Source organism: Homo sapiens, chromosome 1, assembly GCF_000001405.40.
Source record: "Homo sapiens chromosome 1, GRCh38.p14 Primary Assembly".
Lineage (NCBI taxonomy): Eukaryota > Metazoa > Chordata > Mammalia > Primates > Hominidae > Homo > Homo sapiens.
This window is the reverse complement of record NC_000001.11, coordinates 223,486,530-223,508,741: the sequence shown is the minus strand read 5'-3', so window position 1 is coordinate 223,508,741 and position 22,212 is coordinate 223,486,530. Positions and strand designations below refer to the sequence as shown.

The following is a 22,212-nucleotide window of genomic DNA, read 5'->3' as shown; positions in this document are numbered from 1 at the left end:
TGCCACTTGGCCCCCATGTATCCCCACAAAACACCTACCTCATACCAGGGCCGTGCTCGCAGAATGAAGTTCATTTTAATAGTGACCTAACAAAGGCAGCTGTGAATGGAGATTATAAAACCATTGCCAACACATTCCAGAGAGCAAGGCCTATGGTTTTGGTGTGAGTCCTGACTACTGCCTCCCATCTCGGCACAGGTAACTGAGAGCAGATGGGCATATCTTTACTGTTGCTTAGGGAGTTAGGGTATACTTGGAATGAGAAACCAAACTTGGCTTAGGAGAGCCTGCAGATTAGAATGGGCTGAGGAAGGGAATGAAAGCAGAGGCCAGGTGACAGGAGGGAGGAGAGGGCTGGAGCAGAGGAGAGGGGTGGGGAACCCTGAATGGAAGCCCCAGCCTTTAGCTCCATGCGGAGGTTTTGAGGCTGGACAAACACGTTCAGAGGAGGGAAGGGGTCCTCTCTAAATAGTCCTAGAAACCCAGAAGGCCCTGGAGTTGAGCTCTTTGAGAAAGATGACACCCCATGATAAAATCCCCCATGCAGATCTGTGTTGCTGGCTGGGCCTAAGACGGAGACAACTCCAGAGAGTTTCTGGGCTGGAGTTTAAAGTGGGCTGTGAGCTAACCCTCCTGGATGTGGCAGAAGCCCTCTCTTTCCCCAAATCTCTGACCATCCCTAGCTCCCAGGCACCATCTCCAGACATCTCCATGCAGAGAAAGGGTGCCCTCCTTCACATGGCAGTAGGCTGGTCTCTTCCCTGCCTCCTGTGCCGGTACCCAAGGCCCCTGGTGGCTGGGGGCTGTCTCTCCTTCCAGATGGCGTGCTTCTCAGCCTGGGAGCAGGAGACAGAGACAAAGGGGAAGGGGAGACAGACACAACTGAAATCATTTTCCCTCTGCTTCTGTACATTTCTTCCTTTGGATAAAGATTGAGGCAAAGTCAATGAAATGCAAAAGTCAGTATGGTTGGGTCGAGAAATTAAACAGAAAATCAGACTATGCAAGCATTATGTTTCTTGTAGGAATATTAATTCAAGTTAGTGGTGGTATTTGGGTCGGGTAGTGGGTCTGATAATTTGGAGCCCTGCAAGATTGCTTATTCATAGTGCAATCTCCATCATTTCCTATCTCAGGCATTTATATAACAGTTTCTGAGTCTTCTCGCCCAGGTCACTATTGTAAATGAGAAGTTATTCCCAAAGGATCTTATCTAGTACAATAAATGGATAAAATTATTGAATTTATTAACATCTAAATTAAAAAGTCTGAAAAATTGAGTTCTAATTAATCAGTTTGCAAACAGCTACCCCCAAGGATAACAGACCCTTTAGCAACGGCTCATGATTTGAGACGTATTATTTTTTTAAACAATAATAATATTTTCACAGCAGCTCATATCCGAGGAGTTCAAAGCCGTTCCACAAATGTTAATTATTTAAAGACTTTCTGAAACTGAAGCAGATAATTACTATTTTCTCGGGCCCTGTAATGAGGAAATGGTGCTGAGAGGGAAGGGTGAGTGCCTTTGCCCAAGGTTGTAGTCCGGCTTGTCAGAAAGAGAGAGGAGCAGGACACAGGCAGTTGTCTGACCTTGGTCCTGCTCTGGCCTCGAGCCCTCTGGTTTTTGGTGCCTGCTTGGAACTCCATGACAAGCCTCCTTCCAACCCATCGATCCCCATCCTCCATCTTCTTCCCAGCACAGCTCTGTCTTCACACTTGGGACCCTGTCTTGGGACGGTGCCGTCTCGGACTGTACCACCACCGCTGAGCCTGGAGCCTGCCTTGTGTTCCCCAGCCTCCCAGGGACTTGTCCCTGCCCCCCAGGTCCCCTGGTACTGCAGCAGGTGGGGATCCCAGGAGCCCAGGTGAGCTGGCCCCTGCATGGTCTCTTACCTGCCAGGAAACCTGCCAAGAGTCCTGGGCTGGCTTGCAGCCTCTTCCCACAGGCCCAGAGCCTCCCAGTCTCTGACCATCTCTGGCTTACGTGACTGGTCTTCAGAGAGGCTTCCCCTCTCTGCTCCAGCCTAGCTTATCATCTCTAGGGGCTGACATCCTGGTCTTCTGGGCTGCCTTCCCGGGGCCAGGTTCTTCCCTGCAACGGCACAGGGGCAGGACTCTCACCTCTCTTGAGGTTTGCCAAGAGCTGGAGGTGCCTCCCTGACAGTCAGGGAGAGACGGGAGTGTAAGGCTGGAGATCTCACTGTCTTCCCTGCTTTGGAGCTGACTAGTGAAATCATCACACAGGGCCCTCAGTCATTCACACACGCGAGAGGCCAGCCAGCGCTGAGAGGTCCACCTTGTACCTTCCCTGAAGCATGGCAGGGAAGCTGTACTCCCTATAAATAATGGGTCACAGAGCACTTTCATACTGGATACATACCTCTGTTCACTGGCACCCAGGCCCTGGGAGGTAGGAAGAGGCAGGCAAGATTAATCCTATTTTATAAATAGAGAAGGGAAAAATTTTTTTGAGTAATATTGTGTTGGATAGTTGTTTTATATATACTGTCTTACTGAGTTCTTTCAACATTAGTTTTACTCTTCTATTTTTTTTTTTTTTTGAGACGGAGTCTTGCTCTGTCGACAGGCTGGAGTGCAGTGGTGCAGTCTCGGCTTACTGCAACGACAGGCTGGAGTGCAGTGGCGTGGTCTCGGCTTACTGCTAACTCAACCTCCTGAGTTCAAGCGATTCTTGCGCCTCAGCCTCCTGAGTAGCTGGGATTACAGGCACGCACCACCACACCCAGCTAATTTTTTGTATTTTTATTAGTGACGAGGTTTCACCATGTTGGCCAGGATGGTCTCTACTTCCTAACCTCATGATCCACCTGCCTTGGCCTTTGAAAGTGCTGGGATTACAGGTGTGAGCCACTGCGCCTGGCCCTTTTTTTTTTTTTTTTTAAATAAGAAAACTTAACCTGTGCTCAGAGGTTAAGAAATCTGGCCAACCTCACACAGCTAGTAAATGAAAAGCCAAGATTTGAGCCTAGACTGTCTTCCTCCAAACCTAGGCCCTCCCTGGTGCCTTCCATAGATGGGGTGTCCTGAGACCTTAGAAAGGGCAAATAGGTCTCTCATAGTATCAAGTCAATGAATCATGGAGAGTGGGTGTGGTGGCTCACACCTATAACCCCAGTGCTTTGGGAGGCTGAGGTGGGAAGATCACTTGAGGCCAGGAATTTGAGACCAACCTGTGCAAAACAGCGAGACCCTGTCTCTACAAAAATTAAAAACAAACAAACAAAAAATAGCCTGGCATGATACTGCATACCTGTAGTCCTAGCTACTTGGGAGGCTGAGGCAGGGTGGCGGGGGCAGGGGGTCCCTTGAGCCCAGGAGTTCGAGGCTGCAGTGAGCTGTTATTGCGCCATGGCACTCCAGCCTGGGCAAAAGAGTGAGACCCTGTCTCTATTTAGAGAAAAAAAAAAAAAAAAGGATTGAAGACAAGAAGCCCAGGGCCTTGAGGGCCAACTCAGCCTTCTGTCCTCTACCGACTCCTGAGGGTGAGGTAGGAACCCATATGAAGATGGCTGATGGTCGCCATGTAATCCAGTGAATGGTGGGTGGGGTGGTTCAGGAGCAACTTCAAGGGAGGCTCCTTTAAGCCCTGTCTGGGTGGTGGTTCTGGCCCCTGGGGGAATGAGAGACCCTAGCCTCCTACCTGTGCAGGTGCAGAAGGACAGAACTTTCTGGGGCTTGCTCAGCCTTTATCACTAGTCATCAACTTCCTGCAGTGGGAGTAATCAGGCTCCTGCTCTATTTGCTGTGAACTAATTAACTCTCCTCCCCTGGAGCCGTTCCCAGAGCCCTTCGTCATCTAAAGGGCTACAGCTCTGCATTGGGGGTTGTGCCCACAGTGGGAGGACATGACGCATGAGCAATCACAGTGATTTCCTCCTCCAGATGAGTTGGAGAAGGCACTGGGGCCCAGGCCCACTCAGGGCCACAGACCTCTGCTTCAGGGATCGGACTGTGCAAGATGGGGATTGAAAGGACTTCCTATTTCTGCTGATCACACATGCTTTCTTAGTGCCCATTCATCCTCTCCTTCAGTCACTTACTTGCTGTGTGAACTTGATGCATTACTTGACTGTGTCTTAGTTTCCTCATCTTTAAAATGGGAATTCTGTTAGCACGACCTCAGAGGGTTGTTGTGGTGGTTAAATGGGATGATGTGTTGCACTGTTTAGACAGTGCCTGGCACATAATCAATGGTCAGTGAAAGTTAGCAATCATGGATATTATTATTGTCAATATTATTAACAACCTCTCAGAACTTCCATTTCCTCAGCTGTAAAACATGGACACCCCTACGCACAGGGCTGTTGAGGAAGTGAGATATGATGTAAGTAAGGCACCTAGAAGAGCATTTGGCCAAAGCTGAGTAGATAGAATGGCTTTCATTATTTTCATTCGTTCAGGTGCATTCATTAACTGCTTGTTTAAAATCTTGGGGACACAGAAGTAAGACAAGGTCTCTGGAGACAGGGCAGTAACTGTATCTATCACCTGAAGCATGTTCTGTGAAGCAAAGGATGGTTTATACTGCATCCGCAGATACTTTTTAATTCTGCAGATGAATAGGGCCTTGTACCAGGCATAGACCAAGATGGAAATCCCTCTAATGTGGGGTGTGCCCTTTAATTTATAAGTCATTTTCTTATCTATTTTCACATTTGACTTTTACATTAACCCAAGTAGTATGTAGACATAATTACCTCCACTTTATCAATAAGGAAACCATGGCCCGAGACACAGAGTCATTTCCATTTAGTCTGAGTTGAGGGTGGCTATTACCAGCATCACTTTGTGGGGGGTTTTTTGGTTTGTTTTTGTTTTTTTGGGACAAGGTCTTGCTCTGTCACCCAGGCTGGCGTGCAGTGGCACAATCTCAGCTCACTGCAACCTCTGCCTCCAGGGCTCAAGCGATCCTCCCACCTTAGCCTCCTGAGTAGCTGGGACTATAGGCGTGCACCACCACACGAGGCTAATGTTTGTATTTTTTGTAGAGATGGGTTTTTGTCATGTTGCCCAGGCTGGTGTCAAACTCCTGAGCTCAAGGAATCTGTCCACCTTGGCTTTCCGAAGTGCTGGGATTACAGGCGTGAGCCACCACACCCAGCCCATTTTGTTATCTATAAAAATATTATGCACCCTACCCCACCCTCCAGCTGGGAGGCAGAACCACCGCGAGTTGCCTGTGATGGGCAGGGGAAGGGAGAGAAAGGGCTCTGATTCATTCATTCATTCATTCATTCATTCATTCATTCATTCTTTCAACAACTAATTGTTGAGGACTAATATGTTGCAAGCTCTCTGAGGTGCCCTGGGCCAGCTGGTGTCTCTCAAGCAGTTCCAGGCATGAGAAATAAGGCTGGGGCTTAAATTTGCTGATAGAAAGAACTAGGCAGGTAGAAGTTTGTGTTTGGGGGCTTTCAAAATTTCCATCTTCCTCCTGAGGGACCTGGGCCCCCTCTATGCCCAATGAGTCACATATTCCTTCACCGAGAAAGGAACCACAGTAGACTTTTTTTAATAAAAATGAGTGGTATAATGACTTTCAGGCCAGGCACAGTGCTTAATTACACCTGCAATCCCAGCACTTTCAGAGGTGGAGGCAGGAGGATCACTTGAGACCAGGAGTTCAAGACTAGCCCGGGTGGCAAAGTGAGACTTTGTTTCTAAGGAAAAAAAAAAAGAACAAAATTAGCTGGGCATGGTGGCATATGCCTGTAGTCTCAGTTACTTGGGAGGCTGAATCAGGATGATTGCTTGAGCCTGGGAGGTTAAGGCTGCAGCGAGCCTTGATAGTGCCACTACACTATAGCCTGGGTGACAGAGCAAGATCCTGTCTCTAAAATATGTATATATTACACACACATACACACAAAATGGCTTTCATTATTTTCTACCAAATATCAACAGAGGGAGGTGTGTGGGTTAAGATGGGGTGATAGAGGGCAGGCTGATAGGAAAAAGGGGCCATCTGTGGACACATGTGATGCTGACAGAAGAGATCTCACTTGATCCCAACTCTGGGCCTTCACTCCAGCCCCTTCCCCATTCCCCTGAAAGCCCTTCCTCCTTTTCGTCCGCCTAAATGCTTTCCTTTCAACTTGGCATCCTTCAATAAAATAAAGAAAGAAAGAAATGCCTTCCTTCCCCCCTTGGTTAACACTCACCTCTCTCCCTCATGTGACTTCTTAGACTTATCTTACCCATACTTGATCTTTCCTTTCTCTGAAATTTTATTTCAGTTGGACTCAGGGATACCCCCTCTAAGTTGATTGCCTTTGAACGGGTCACGGTCTACAGCTCATATTTCCCCAGGTTACAAGCTCCTTGTGGGCAGGGCCATGTCCTAAACCCTGTGATATGCTCACAGCATCGAACTGTGAAGAATCTCATCTTCATTCCCAGGAGCCTGACCTAATGCAGGCCCTCTTTGTCTCTTCCCTGGGCCAGGGCAGCGCTGGCTCCTGGCACATCACTTAGCAGAAAGCACACCTGCGGTCCCACCTCCCTGCTTTTCAAATCCTCCCTCAGCTCCTCTCTCCTGCAGACTGACATTCAAGCACGTCTTCTGACTGCCAGGCCTCTCACTGGCCACGGCCCCCATCAAGCACCAGGTGCCCAAAAAAGCAGGCACATTGGCGCCTCTCTGTCCAGCACATTCCTGTCTTTCTAGAAACATACTACTAATCTTTTGAGGTGAAGCAAAAATGTCACATTGTCATTTCAGAGCGCATGCCCCAGGCAGAGTTAATTCCCTCCTTCACATTGATTCCACAGCACATTTTTGGTTTTTTTTTTTTTTTTTTTTTTTGAGATGGAGTCTCAGTCTGTTGCCCAGGCTGGAGTACAGTGGCACGATCTTGGCTCACTGCAACCTCCATCTCCCAGGTTCAAGCCATCCTCCTGTCTCAGCCCCCACTAGTAGCTGGGATTATAGGCACGCACCACCATGCCTAGCTAATTTTTGTATTTTTAGCAGAGACGGGGTTTCGCCATGTTGGCCAGACTTGTCTTGGACTTCTGATCTCTGGTCATCCACCCGCCTCGGCCTCCCAAAATGCTGGGATTACAGGCGTGAGCCACCGCGTCTGGCCACGTTTCCTGTTTTTAAAGCAGCCCATTTCTAGGCTCATTGGAAGGGGTCATGGAGCTCCGTGTCCCGGCTAAGTAGGTCCTCTGGGAGCATCAGTCCCATGACCCCCCAGTCCTTCCCTACTTTGGCACTGAACCCCACTAAAGTCTCTTTATAGCTCTTGCCCCTCAGCCTGCCCTCACCATTTTACTATTTGCATCAAGTCTTCACCTTACAGAGATGCTGCCAAGACAAATGAGATAATATGTAAAAGTGCCTTAAGCTCCAGAAGATGGACTGTGTTATCATGGCTGTAAAACTCTCTACTGGGGAAGTCAAGCTTGATGACAGTGAATCGGAAAGGGCAAGATGAAGGAAGAGGAGGAGGAGAAGGAGGAGTAGGAGGGAAAGGAGGAGGAGGAGAGGGAGGAGGGAAAGGAAAAGGAGGAGGGGGAGGAGGGGAAGGAGGAGAAGGGGGAGGAGGAAGCGGAGGAGGGAGAGGAGGAGGAGGGAGAGTCAGCATGAGCAGAAGGGCTGAACTGACCAAACCAAGACTCTTCTGCCAAACTCATCAACCAGAGGAGTCTTCTTCTGGGGGTGAGAGGGTGGTGGGCAGAGTGGGACCAGGGACCTGGCACGGGGTAGGATGCTCCCGGCCAACAGAAGGTCCATTGCCACCCGTTGGATGACTTGGCCAGCTAGCACTTGAAATCCCCCCTGTGGAAGTACAACTGACAAATGTAAGCAGCTAGGCCTCTTTAATGGGGCTCCTGGAGGACAGAGCCTGTTCCAAGAAGCATGGGTGGTGGGCGTGTTTACCTGAAGGCAGTGTTCCCTGGTTTCTCTGGAAACCACATGCCTTAGAAACAAAGGAGCTCGCACACAGCATGATTCATGGCCACCGTTTGTTCCTGTCTGCCCCTCCTGCCGTGGCTCCACTCATGGAGGGTGCCAAGGATATGCTCTTGGTTGCATGAGTAACTTGTTTTCCCCTCCAAGAGAGCTTTCATTTTCTCCCAGTCAGACTTAGTCATTACTTATTTGGTGAATTCTTAAGTGGGTGACTGAGTGGACCGTCGAGGCCTTGGAGGAGGGGGCTCGTTCTTCCTTGCAGCTTGCACAGCTGGGAGCAGGACCCTGGAAAAATGAGAGGAGGGCGCAGAGTGCATATGAGAGGCCTTTGTGGATTTTTCTCCTGACATGAGCACCCACTTCGTGCCCCCAACTCCCTTCTAATGCTCTTGTTGAGAAGCTCCCAGCAATTTCTTCAATTCAGCCAGGGACCGCCTCCTCTGGGAAGCTTTCTCAGATAACCCTGATGCCCCCTGCCCATCATTCCCCCCAATCCCCAGTTCCCGTGACACAGGATTGGTGTATCTGTCAGCCTTCCCCGCAGGATCCAGGGAGGGCAGGAACTCTCACTCCTCTTTGTATCCCCGGGGCCTGGTGCAGACCTGGAAATGCCTGTTTGTTGGCTGACTGTCAGAGCCCAGGCAGGCACAGGCCTTGTTTGGAAACCTGGGAGGGGTGGCAGGGTCCCTAACCCCTCTGGGTGCCCAGGGCTGGTCCTGGCTCTCCACTGCTTCCCACTTCCCTGCCAGCCTTTACAGACCCTTTGCCCTGCACCTCACACCCCTCTGAAAGGGTGGCAAGCCTGGTCCCAGTGGCTGCTTCAGATGCTACTCTTGAGGGCTCCTTGAGCCATGCCCTTTTGGGCCACTGTACAGTCACACATCACAGCCACCTTGTCTTTGGCAGATTATGTTCTTTTTTTTTTTTCCCTCTCTTTAATCATAGTAAAATACACATAACACAAAATTGACCATCTTAACCATTTTTAAGCGTACAGTTCACTTGTACTGATTATATTCACATTGTTGTCCAATCATGACCTCCCTTCATTTCCAGAACTTTTTCATTTTTACTAAAGTGAAACCCATTAAACCCCAATTCCCTGTTTCCCCTCCCTCCAGCCCCTGGCAACCACTGTGGTACTTTCTGTCACTATGAATTTGTGGCTACTTCTTTTAATGGTGCAAAAGTACTTAAGCACAGTGTGAGCCTGGGTCAGGGTACAGACCACCCGTACTACCTGGAGACTCCTTGGTACCAAGCCCTGTTCTGCTTAAGATGTGAGCTTGATTTTGACACTTCTCTTGTGGATGGCAGAGCCCAGAGTGGAACCCAGGTTCATTTCATTCTAAAGCCATGTCCAAAACTCCAAAGAACCAATCTTGAGTAGGGGTTGTATTAGTCTGTTTGTGTTGCTATAAAGGAATACCTAAGGCTGGGTAATTTTTAAACAAGATAGTTTTATTTGGCTCACAGTTCTGCAGGCTGCACAGGCATGGCTTCAGCATCTGCTTGGCTTCTGGTGAAGCCTCAGAAAGCTTTTACTCATGGTGAAGACAAAGGGGGAGCAGGTGTGGCATATGGTGAGAGAGGGAGCAAGAGCAGGGAGGAGGTGCCAGGCTCTTTAAACAACTAGCTCTTGCCTAAACTAATAGAGTGATAACTCACTCATTATTGAGAAGAGGGCACCAAGACATAGAACGAAGAGTCCAAGCACCTCCCATGAGGCCCCACCTCTATCATTTCAACATGAGGCCCAGGGAGAACAAGTGGCTGGCCCTCGGACATACTTTCTGTAAGTGGTAGAGGCAGGATCCTGACCCTGCCTGTCTCATCCCAGTTACCGGCTTACCCCAGTCTTAACAACACTAAAGGCATTTCAGGAACCTTGTCAGAAGAGAGCAGGGGGCTTGGGGCAAGCTGTGACTTTAGAAAGTTGTGAGCTTTGGAGTCCCTTAAACCACTCATACTTGATGGCTTATTCATGAGACCAGTTGTGTCCATGGACACCCAGGTTTCACATTTTTCTTTCCTCCTTGCTGAGGGTTTACATTCATTCATTACAAATGAATGTTGAGAGTGAACTCTCCCAGGGGTGGTGTAGTTAATACCGTTACAGCCTGAGGCCACTAGGGTCTCCATTCAGCCTTGCCTCTTGGAGGAATGATAACCGTACTAGCTCACTTTTACTAAGCACCTTCCATATGCCAGGCACTGGTTGACCCATGTAATTGCATCTAATCTTCACAATTGTCTTAGGTTGGCTTTTTTAGAAGCAGATTTGAGATGAAGATTCTCATGCAGGTGGCCTGCTGAGTGAGTGAGTGAGTGAGTGAGTGAGTGAGTGAGTGAGTGAGTGAGTGAGTGAGTGAATGCTAACAGGAGAAATTGACATGAAAGTGAGGGAAGCCAGAAAGAACTCGTGAGGAGGCCAGGCACAGAGGAGCCCCGTCTGGAGTCTCGCCTCAGCCCCACCCGACCGGGCAACCTGCAGCCTGGGTGATACCTCGGGGTTGCCCTGCCTTGAGGCAAGGGCTTTGGTTCCTCTTATCAGTCAGTGGGTGGGAGGGTGGGGTGGGTGGGCAGGGTGTAGGGCTGGGGGTTTAGCTTCTTAGGAATCCCTAGGTGAGTCGGCTTAAGGGGGCAAAGGCAATTTTCCAGAGAAGGGTGCAGCTGAGGGCTGTTAGCAGCCCAGACTGAGAAAGGGTGTCTTGGTGGGCCTTCACTGGCATCTTTTAGAACATTCTTCTGAGATATGATCTAATACTATCTCCGCATTATAGAGGAAGACTGAGGCCCAGGGAGGGCAAGTACCTGGCCCTAGGACATACTTTCTGTAAATGTTAGAGGCGGGATCCTGACCCTCCCTGTCTCACCCCAGTCACCAGCTTACCCCAGTCTTACCCCAGGCTCACCCCAGTCACCAGCTCCTACACTGCTAGAGACAGGAGGCTTCATTCAAGGAGCTGTGGCTGATTCTGGGAGTCCTTCTGTCTTGCCTGGCTCCAGCTTTTTGCACTGCATTAGTAGCGGATAAACCCGCAAATCCCCAGGGCCTAACACAATACGAGTTTCTTTTTTGTTCACATGAAAGTCCAATTAGCGGTAGGGGAGGAGGTGGTGTCCTACAGTCAGGGGTCTGCCCTCCTCCCAGCACACCCCCATGGAAGCCCTGGGTATTAATATCCAGCTGGCAGGTGAGGCAAATTAGAGCGTGGAGGACTGTGCAGGAAGCTCTAAGGGCCAAACAAGGAAGTGAGGAACACCACTTCTACCTTCATTCCATAGTTCAGAACCCGGTCACTGCTTTCTCTGAGACGCAAAGGGGACTTGGAAATGTGGACCCCAGCCAGGCAGCCTCAACCCTGCAGAGTGGAGGGAGATCCTCAAACAGATGGTCCATAGCTCTCAACTTGGCTTCATTTTGGCCTCCCAACTTGGCCCCACTTCTGAAGCAGCATCATTGTCTGGGGCAATATCTGAGGTTTGTCTTCTCATGCCAAGAGACGTCGTCTCTTGCAAGAGAGAGGGGCGCAGGAATGGGACTTCTGGCTGGCAGAAGAGTGCACCGGATTTTATAGACAGGCTTGAGGAAGCAGTGTCTGATTTACATGGGGCCCACAGATTGGTTGGACCAGGTGTGACTTTACATATCCTGTGGTGAAGCTGGCCACCCCACCCTAATCTTATTATGCAAATGGTCTTTCCACTTGGCTGGCGCCATGTTGTCTGCTCCTCATTGTACATGTGGCTGGCAAAGAGAAGGGACGATGGAGCTAGCCTCAGGTAGCCCCTTTCCTACTGGCACAACTGCCGGCATTCATGGGTGCAAGCTTCTAACTTGCTTGTCTGTGTCTGCAGCTCGATTATACTGGCTGCTCTTTGTTAGAAAAGAAAATGATTTGGGGGCTGCTTTTCATTAAAAGAAAAACCTTACTGAGGACTTCCTTACCCTCACTACCTGCCTCAATAATTTCTTTGTAACTCCTTTATCACTTCCTTGGTCCTGGGTGGTCAGCTTGGGCTGACATTGTCATTCCTTATCTCTAGCCCCGTCCCCAAGCAGCTGAGTGTTCTTTTACTAGCCATTGCCTGGGGTGTATCTTCAGGGCTGTTCTCAGGGTGGCACCTGGTCCCTGGAGCATTGTTTTTGTCCATTCCTGGTAGGTGGGTGGGGTGTGGGTGAGGGCGAGGCTGCTGGGGGCCGGGAAGCCTGGCTGACTTCAGCATCAGCACTTTTTTTTTTTTTTTTTTTTTTTGAGACCGAGTCTCGCTCTGTCGCCCAGGCTGGAGTGCAGTGGCGCGATCTCGGCTCACTGCAAGCTCCGCCTCCCAGGTTCACGTCATTCTCCTGCCTCAGCCTCCCGAGTAGCTGGGACTACAGGCGCCCGCTACCACGCCCGGCTAATTTTTTGTATTTTTAGTAGAGACGGGGTTTCACCGTGTTAGCCAGGATGGTCTCGATCTCCTGACCTCGTGATCCGCCTGCCTCGGCCTCCCAAAGTGCTGGGATTACAGGCGTGAGCCACCGCGCCCGGCCAGCATCAGCACTTTTTCGAGGAAGCCAAGTCAGACCCAGACAGAATGAAGATTTGGGGAAGGATTCTAACATCCTAACACTAAACAGAGTCCGCATCTCAGTAATCCAATGGAAGTCCTTGGACCTACTTAGTGCCTCTAAACGCATGTCCTAAGCCAGGCCCAGGTGATACAGAGGTTAGAGCCCCCACAGTGGAACTCACGGTCCAGTAGGAGAGACAGGAATGACCATCCACAGTGATATCACAGCACAAGCAGCCTCATCACGGGAGGAGACCCCTGGGGCAGTGGGAGCCCCTACCTGAGGCTGGAGGAGTCTGGGATGGCTTCCCAGAGGAGGTGAGGCCAAGGCCCATATTGAAGGCTGACCAGGAGCTGTCCAGTGAGATTTTGAGGGCAGGGTGGGTAGTGGGTGGGTGCCTGTTGAGCACAGGGAATGGATAGGATCAACAGTTGCATGGCTGGGTGATGGAGGAGAAAGAAGCAGGCCGCTCATGGGAGGCCTCGAAGGCTATTCTGGATGTAGGCTTTCTCCTGAGGGCTGTGGGGAATCACTGAAGGATTGCTCAGGAAGAAACCTACCCAAGTCTGTGTTCTGACTGTCAGGTGGAGGATGGTGAGGAGGGTGCTGCATTACTTTACGTGAGAAATAAGGACCTGAATTTAGGCAGTGGCTGTAGGGACAGAGTGCAGGGGGTGGACTGCAGAGACATTTAGGGTAGAATGGGTGAGGAGGGAGGAGTGGTGGTGACCCCCAGTTTTCTGGCTTGGGGGCTGGTAAATGGGGCCATTCACTGAAAGGGACAAAGGCCATAAATCCTGGGGTGGCAGGGAGGCACTCAGTGCAGCGGGGAAGACACTGGGACGCAGCGCCAAGGCCTAGCTTCTAGTCCCCGGTTTCTCTTTAGAAGCCAAATGGCCTTAGGTGAGCCATTAAGCTTTCAGTGCCTCAGTTTACTCACCTGCAAAATGGCACCCATATCTGCCTTCCCCCAGGGAAATGTGAGGATCAAATAAAATATGTGAGTGAGAGCGTCTTGAAAACCACAAGGAGTTCATGAATATAGGGAGTTAATGCAAAGAGAAGTGGTCACAGGAGAGGCCACAGTTCCGACAGCCAAGAAGTCGCTGGAGATCCCTGGCTTGGGGCACCATCTGAGATACACCTGAGCCAGCCCTGGTCTCAGAGCTCCCCAAAGAACCTTCCGGCGTGCTGAGGCCTGAGCACAGAGGCCTCACTGGGATATGGATCACTGGAACCATCCTACTGTTATTGCTGCTTGCAGGCACGTCCCATGTGGTACTTCTGGGTGGGAGGTGGGATGACCTTTTCTCTAATAGCCTCCATGGGCTTTGCAGGCCCCAGTGGCTTGTCAATTAGTGGGTTCTGAAGGCAGCAATGTTGCAGCCTCCGCAATGAGCTGCAGCCCTCTGGCTGCCCGGAGAAACTTGCAGGGCTCAGCCAAGGGCTCTGGGACCACGACCCTCTGGATTTAGATTTCCTTGAGCACATTCCTCCCTTGCCTTTGAGAAGCGTCTGTTTGCAGAGGCCTGTAGCTCCCCGTCCTTTGCTCTACAAAAAATGTTGAGCAAACATTTAGGGAATAAGGGCTTTATAATGATGAGAGTCAACATTGAAGAATACCAGCTATTATAAGACATAAGTGTTTAAAAAAACAAGAAAAGGAAAAATAAATGGAAATATTCTGCTTTCCCTGAGCAGGCCAGTGTGTGGAAGAAGGGTAGAGGTTCAGGCTTTCTCACGCCTTCTTATTTTGGGCCATAGCGCCAAGACTCAGGCCTGCAAGGCTCTTGAAGAGCCCCAGTGCCCAGGGTGTTTTCAGTTCAAATGAGGATGTTATCTGCCTGGAATCCTAGAAAAGTAGGACGGATAGAACACCAAGACCAGAGAAGACAGCTCTGCTGAGCTCTAAATGGTGTGGCGCTTCAGGCTGCACACACGCTGAGAAAGAGATAAAGAGAGAAGGTCCAGGAGAAGGAGACAGGGTCACACTCGGGCAGCCTCCTGAGACTACACCATGCAATCCAAAGTCTGGTAAGATGGGAAGTATTGGCCAGGTGCTCAGCACTTTGGGAGGCCGAGGCAGAAAGATCACTTGTGCCCAGGAGTTCGAGACCAACCTGAGCAACATGGCGAGACCTCATCTCTACAAAAAATACAAGAATTAGTCAGGCATAATGGGTGCACGCCTGTAGTCCCACTTAGGAGGCTGAGGCAGGAGGATTGCTTGAGTCCAAGAGTTGGAGGCTTCAGACAGCTATGATGGCACCATTGCACTCCAGCCTGGGTGGCAGCATGAGACCCTATCTGGAAATCCAACGATGTGAAGCATCGCCCTCCAGGAAGAGATCTTTACTCCTCTCCTCCTCAATGCACATATACGTCCCTAACTCCCTACGCGCTGAGCTAAAGGAAGGGCCTGCTGAGAGCTCCATGTCTGGCAGGCCATTTAGTCACCCCTTAGCTTTATGGAGGTACAATGGATATACAAAAAAACTACACATAATTAATGTATACAATTTGGGGAGTGTATATGTACACACTTATGCTACCCATGCCACAATCAAGATAATAAACATAGCTATTACCTCCAGAAGTTTCCCTGGGTTCCTTTTTTTTCAGTGTGTGCTAAGAGCCCTTGTCATGAGATCCCCTTTTCTGTTGTTGTTGTTGTTGTTTTTTTTTTTTTTTTGAGATGGAGTCTTGCTCTGTCGCCCAGGCTGGAGTGCAGTGGTGCAATCTTGGCTCACTGCAAGCTCCGCCTCCTGGGTTCATGCCATTCTCCTGCCTCAGCCTCCCGAGTAGCTGGGACTACAGGCGCCCGCCACCACGCCCTGCTAATTTTTTTGTATTTTTAGTAGAGACAGGGTTTCACCGTGTTAGCCAGGATGGTCTCGATCTCCTGACCTCATGATCCGCCTGCCTCGGCCTCCCAAAGTGCTGGGATTATAGGTGTGAGCCACCACACCCAGCCCGAGATCCCCTTTTGTAATGCATTTTTAGGTGCAAAATACGGCAGTCCCTCCTTATCTGCCATATTGCTTTCTGTGGTTTCAGTTACCCACGGTCAACTGTAGTCTGAAAATATTAAATGGAAAATTCCAGAGATAAACAGTTCATACATTTTAAATTGTGCACCCTTTCATCATCCTTCTGAGTAGCATGATGATGTCTCTTATCATCTGCTCCGTCCCACCTGGGACACAAATCATTGCTTTGTACGCTGTCTACACCATCCACCCTTTAGTCACTTAGTAGCTGTCTCGGTTGTGAGATCGCCTGTCTTGGTATCACAGTGCTTGTGTTCAAACAACCCTCATTTTACTTCATAAAGTCCCCAAAGTGCAAGAGTAGTGATGCTGGCATATTGTTATACTTGTTCTATTTTGTTATTATTTTTGTTAATCTCTTACTGTGCCTAACTTACAAACTAAACTTTGTAATACATACAGATGTATAGCAGAAAACATAATATATATATAGGGTTCAGTACTATTTGCAATTTCAGGGACCCACTGAGTGTCTCAGAACATATTCCCCACAAATAAGGGGAGATACTCTACCTTACTGTTAACTATAGGTGCTATACTGTACAGCAGACCCCTGGAACTTACTCGTCTTGTATAATTATAACTTCATACCCATTGAACGACAACTCCTGACAACCCCTCCTTCTGCTCGGTTTTTCTCCTAGAATCTTGCCCCACCTCTGTCTGGTTGCAGAAGATAGGAGTTTGACAGCTAGGGGTGCATCCTCGTCCTGACTCTTTCTGGCCGTCAGCCCAGTCACTTACTGTCTCAGAGCTTTAGTAACTTCCTTACCTGCAAGTGGTTTCACAAAGGACCTACTGCATAGGTTGTTGTGAAGAATAGATGAACCGGATCACGGACAGGCTTGGCCTGGGGCATAAGACATGCTCAGTAAGTGCCAGCCACTCTTAGGCCCCTTCTCTCTCCCTGCCCCAGGCCAGGAGCTCCAGGCTGAGAGCCAGCGGTGGCCTCATCGCTGAGGTACACTTTCTCGGAATGTGGGCTTGCCAGGATCGCCCCAAAGCGAGCCTCCCTGGGCTCCAAATTTGGTTTGGCCCCCTTCCAAACTGCTTTCCTAGCACCCCATAAGATTCAGAAATGTTAATGACTTCCAGGGAGTCTCTTTACCTCCCACAGGAAGCCACTGTCACTTTGTAGAATGGCTTTAGAAAAGATGGGTTTCATTAAATTTCAGAGCTGGGGCCAGTCGCAGTGGCTCACGCCTGTAATCCCAGCACTCTGTGAGGCCGAGGCGGGTGGATCACCTGAGGTCGGGAGTTTGAGACCAGCCTGACCAACATGGAGAAACCCTCTGTCTACTAAAAATACAAAATTAGCCGGGCGTGGTGGCACATGCCTGTAATCCCAGCTACTCAGGAGGCTGAGGCAGGAGAATCGCTTGAACCCAGGAGGTAGAGGTGGCAATGAGTTAGGATCACACCATTGCACTCCAGCCTGGGCAACAAGAGCAAAACTCCATCTAAAAAAAAAAAAAAATTCAGAGCTGGAAGGGACCTTTAGAAACCATTTGCCGCACCACAGGCCTCTCCAGCAGGAACTGGCTCCAGACGGGACAATCAGCCTCGGAAGGGGAGCAAGTGTGCTGTGTAATAGAGATGCTACATCCAGAAAAGAGAGAGAGAAGGATGTCATGCCTGGTGACATTTACTCTCCAGGAAGGTTTGATGAAATTTTGCTGGGTGTAGACTTTGAATTAGCTAAAGGTGTTGGAAATTTGGGGGCTGTTGTTTCTCGTTGGGTTCCTTGGGCAGTTGAGCTTGAGAAAGCTGGGCATAGAGGTGGAGGTTTCATGATGGAACTGTTTAGGGAACTTTTTAAAAACCCACATCCTCCCCCTATCCCCTACCAGGGTATCTCAGAGCCTTCACTCGGGGGAGCGTGTGCTGTGAAAAAGCTTCCAGGTGATTCTGATACACATCTTTGCCTCTGGCCAAGAGGCACAGGCCTAGGCTGAGGAACAGAGAATAAGCAGCCTGCACTAATGACATCACAGCATGGCCCTGGCTGATAGACCAGGATGTGGGAAAAGGAGACCCCACATTTTTGTCATTTATAGTTGACCCATTCTTTTCACAGATGTCCCTTCACTTGATGTCCAAGTTTACACTCAGATAGTCAAGGCTGGCCTATCTCCATTTTGCAAATGGGAAAGTTTAGGCCCCGTTAGGATGAGTACATCCTGCAAAAAGGGAAGAGCCAGAGGAGGAACCCAGCTCTTCTGAGCCAAATAGCAGCAGTCTCAATCCTGGGTATATTGAGGGTGTGACCAGTGGCACTGTGGCCATTTACAAGTGGAGGTGGGGAGACTTTAACATGTGCTTTTAAAAAGCATTTCTTTGACCCCTTTGTCAAACTCACATGAAAAGCCCCCAGTTTCTTTGATGTCATTGGAGCCAGGCTCTCATAGTTCTCTTAGATCGTCTCTGAGCGGGCAGCCTCCAAAATAGTCATGGAGCGAGGGGAGTTTCTCAACTCTCCTGGCAGGGGCTGAGCGGTGAGATGATGTCCACACGCATTATTCTTTGGTTTGATGGCAGCCCAGGAGTCTAGTAGGAAATAATTAAAGCCAGCTCCCAACTGGGGTTTAGGCACAGATGATGGCCTGGGTTTCCCCAAGTCAGATGGTTTGGAAAGAACACATATGACTCCTGTGGGGAGGTGGCAGTGAGTGAGGCAAAGATCTGATGAGTGGAGCAGTCTAGGCAGCAAGGCGTGGTGCTGGAGGGAACTGTGGCCCACATTCCAGGTACGGTGGGAGGCTGGCCTGGCTATCCTTACTGCGCCCTCCCATGGTGCCTGGAGCCAGGAGGCCAAGGGCTGGGGCATCAAGGTGAGAGCTGTCCCTCCTTAACCAATACTCCTTCTGAAGGAGCTGGTCATGAGAAGGGGACAGAACTTGTCTGCAGGCCAGAGGTGGGGCAGGAGGTGGTGAGGTTGGCAGACTGGAGGCAGTCTGAAACTGCCTGGTCACTGGGCACACATAGGCCTGGTTAGACTCCCATGGGCATCTGAGTATAGGAGTTTTGGACAGAAGACAGAGGCAGCAGCTTTCTTATCTGTGAGCCCTTCTACTCCCCTGCCCACCCTGCCTGGGTCTTCTAGAGGCAATGACTCGACTCTACACCTCCCGAGAAAACACTGGAATCTCTGCTGATCAAATAGTGATATTGGTCAGTGCTACAGATATGACATTGATAGACACCAGTGTGAAGCCTGCCCACATGTGAGTTACATTCGTTTTGGGAAGGATTTGTTGCAAACTCAGGCCATTTCTGTTGGAGGGACCTTGTTCGTCTCCATAGGCGGATGAAGCCTGGGGGAATGGGGGCTGCAGACAAGGAAGCTGGCGCCCTGCTTGGGAAGTGATTTGCCGAAGCCCACTGTAGTGAATGTTGGGGAGCACCCTTCAGATGCCCCACCCTGGACTGAGGATCTCATCTCCCAGTCACTGGGAATGTTGCCTCCTGCTGGCTCGCAGCTGAGTCCTTTCTGGGAATTGCCCTCAGCCAAAGAGAGTCCCAGCCAGACCATGTTCCCTTCCTGGAATAGCCAGACTCACTCACCCAACGAAGATGGTCCAACAACACTGCCCAATAACCTCCCTGCCCGCTAAGCTCTATCTCAGAGCCCGCTTCCCAGGAGCCTGAGCCAGGCAGCTCCCAGCCTGTGGGCTTTACATCACTGCATGCTTCCTACATAGGAGGAGAGACAGTGAACAGAGCCAGGACCCTGCTGCCAACCTCAGAACACTTAGATTTGAGCCATGCCCTGAGCACTCTTTCAAAGCCTTGGAGATGTGTACAAAAAATGGAAGAAGCCCCTGGAGAGAGAGTGCTGCAGTTACCAGGAGCCTGTTTGCTGTGTGTCCTCCGCCCCATGGGCGGCTTGTGAAAAAATAGAGACAGCAGAGTCTAGTCTAATATGCAGACATGTTGGCTTTTTATTTACCCAGATGTCCGGTGGCATTGCAGGAACAAGCCATAGTAGGCCTTACTTCTAGCCAGAGAGCAAGTTTTGCAAAGATTTGTTTATTGTTCAGCCCTTTGTAGTAGTTAGAGTTCTCTGGAGAAACAGAGTCAATAAGATGTTGATAGGAGGGGAGATTTACTGTTTTGTTTTGTTTTTTTGTTTTTTTTTTTTTTTGAGATGGAGTTTTGCTCTTGTTGACCAGGTTGGAGTAGAATGGTGTGATCTTGGCTCACCACAACCGCTGCCTCCTGGGTTCAAGCGATTCTCCTGCCTCAGCCCCCCGAGTAGCTGGGATTACGGGCATGTGCCACCACACCTGGCTAATTTTGTATTTTTAGTAGAAACGGGGTTTCTCCATGTTGGTCAGGCTGGTCTCAAACTCCCCATCTCAGGTGATTTGCTTTAAGGAATGGCTTCCGTGATAGTAGAGGCAGCTGGTAAGTCCAAAATTTGCAGCGTGGGTCTGCAGGCTGGAGACCCAGGGAAGAATTGATGTTGCAGCCATAAGACAATGTGCTGGTGGTATTTATTCTTCCCCGGGAGAGGTCAATCTTTGTTCTCTTAAGGGCTTCATTGGATTGAATGAGACCCACCCAGAGGCCAATCTGCTTTGCTCAAAGCCTACTGATCTCACCTAAAAATGCCTTCCTGACAACATGCAGATGTGTTCGGCCAACTATGTGAGGGCCGCCAAGGTGATGCAAAACATTAACCATCACACCTTCCACATTGTAAAATCTCAATTCATTTCAGTCCTGGGAGGCTTCTGCTCTCATTGCCTTAACCAACCACATGCTCCAGAGCCTGCTGAGGTGGCATCATTCTCAACTGGGCATGAATGTCGGCCCTCAGGGATCCTTCTGGGGCTTTACCTTTTCTTGTGCATGGTGCACATTTTTTGATCTATCGCATTTCTATTTACCAGGGGCTTGCAAGCTTATTCTATGAAGGGCCAGAGTAACGATTTTAGGATATGCACGCCACGTGTATCTCCGTTGTACCTTCTTCTTTGTTTTGGAATCCTTTGAAAATATAAAAACCATCTTAGCTTGCTGCTCATACAAAAACAGGCCAAGGGCTGGATTGGCCGGCAAGCTGCAATTTGCCAGTACTTGATTTAAACTCCTAATATTCCAGGTGCATCTGGATGCTTGACATTCCTGGGCCACTTCAAATTGCTAAGTGCCCTCCTCCAAACACTCCTGAAGCCCATTTGTTCAATAGAAACCTAAATAACACAGACACTGTGAGGACAACTGGAAGAGAAGAGCCTCTCTTTCCCAAGCTCTATTACCAAAGTTCCCCCAAAAGATGTTTCAGAAGCTTGTTTTGAGAGGAGGAAAACTGCAGACCACGGGGAAGGCGTCTCCATCGTGAAAGCTTTATGCTGGGAGAACAAAGGGTGAAGAACACAGACCATCAGCCTCCCCCGCCCTGTGGTTTCCCAGGACAGTCTCTTCCAATTCTGTTTCATGCTTAAGGTCCCCAACAGAGAGAACTACCCTGTGTGGTCCCCCAGGCTGGGAGGAAGGGAGCGGTCTGACTGTGACAGATGTCTCTGGCTGACAGCACACTCTCCTGGAGCCTGGGGCCTGGGAAGGTGCCTGCTAGGTGGGCTGGAGCCACAGGCAGCTAGCCAGGCCCCTCAGCCCCACAGAGAGCCTTCCAGGACCAGAGACATGGATTATTAAACCTAGATTTTTGGTGCGTGTGTAGAGAGTGAGGGGTGGCAAGGATGAGGGTTTTTACAAACCACCAGTGAATCAACTTAATTACATGATCCTTTATGAAAATGCGAACTCTTACCCTGGCGGATGATATTTTAGCATGTGTGGGCTCCTCCCTGAATGAGAGTTCATTGAGAATGGAAATAGCTCCATTCATTGCTCCCCTAGGGTTGTATTTGATCTCTGGTTTTAAAGAAGCCCTTTCTCATAACTTGAACTTTTCATTCTTGGGATTCCTTTCCTTCCCTCTGTCTCTCCCTCCCTCTCTCCTTTCTTCCCTCCCTCCTTTCCTTCCTTTATTCATCAATGATATGGTTTGGCTTTGTGTCCCCACCCAAATCTCATCTTGAATTGTAATCCCCATAAAACCCACATGTGAAGGGTGGGACCAGGAGGAGTAAGTGAATCACGAGGGCAGTTGTTTCCCCCATGCTGTTCTCATGATAGTGAGTTCTCCCTAGATCTGATGGTTTTATAAGGGGCTCTTCTCCCTCTGCTCGGCACTTCTTCCTGCCACCTTGTGAAGAAGGTGCCTTGCTTCCCCTTTGCCTTCTGCCATGATTGTAAGTTTCCTGAGACCTCCCCAGCCATGTGGCACTGAGTCAATTAAACCTCTTTCCTTTATAAATTACCCAGTCTTTGGCAGTTCTTTATAGCAGTGTGAAAATAGACTAATACAGCCCCTTTCATCATCTGTCATGTACCTGTTATTGCAGGTGTTGTGAGTGAGAGATAAGGTATTATACCTACCCTCAGGTAGCTCAGGGGAGGGCTTCCGTGAAGCAAATATGGAAGGATCTCTGTTCATTTGTGGTCTTCTCTTTCTCACCTAAAGTATTGTGCCTGTGATATTAATGGGAGAATGCAAATGTACCAAGCACTGGATTAGCTTGGGGACCCCTTCTGGATGAAAGCTGTTGCTACAGGTGGCATCTGTCCCTACACCTGCTCCCCTTTGTTCT

At 49.6% G+C, this 22,212-nt stretch overlaps 1 long non-coding RNA gene across 1 annotated transcript, besides 1 other annotated feature; it reads right to left on the bottom strand.

Annotated features, from left to right (window-relative positions):
• Positions 1–170: 170 nt before the first annotated feature.
• On the bottom strand, positions 171–2,441 carry LOC105373034 (uncharacterized). The gene is made up of 3 exons (XR_922648.3): positions 2,384–2,441; positions 1,897–2,095; positions 171–836 (listed from the first exon to the last, which is right to left on the bottom strand). It is a non-coding gene; the product is annotated as an uncharacterized LOC105373034 (long non-coding RNA).
• Positions 21,114–21,614: an enhancer, noted in NCBI's record as "H3K4me1 hESC enhancer chr1:223660470-223660970 (GRCh37/hg19 assembly coordinates)". NCBI's record gives its function as "activates a minimal SCP1, AML or CMV promoter by ChIP-STARR-seq in primed H9 embryonic stem cells {active_cell/tissue: H9 hESC(primed)}" and the evidence as "EXISTENCE:reporter gene assay evidence [ECO:0000049][PMID:30033119]".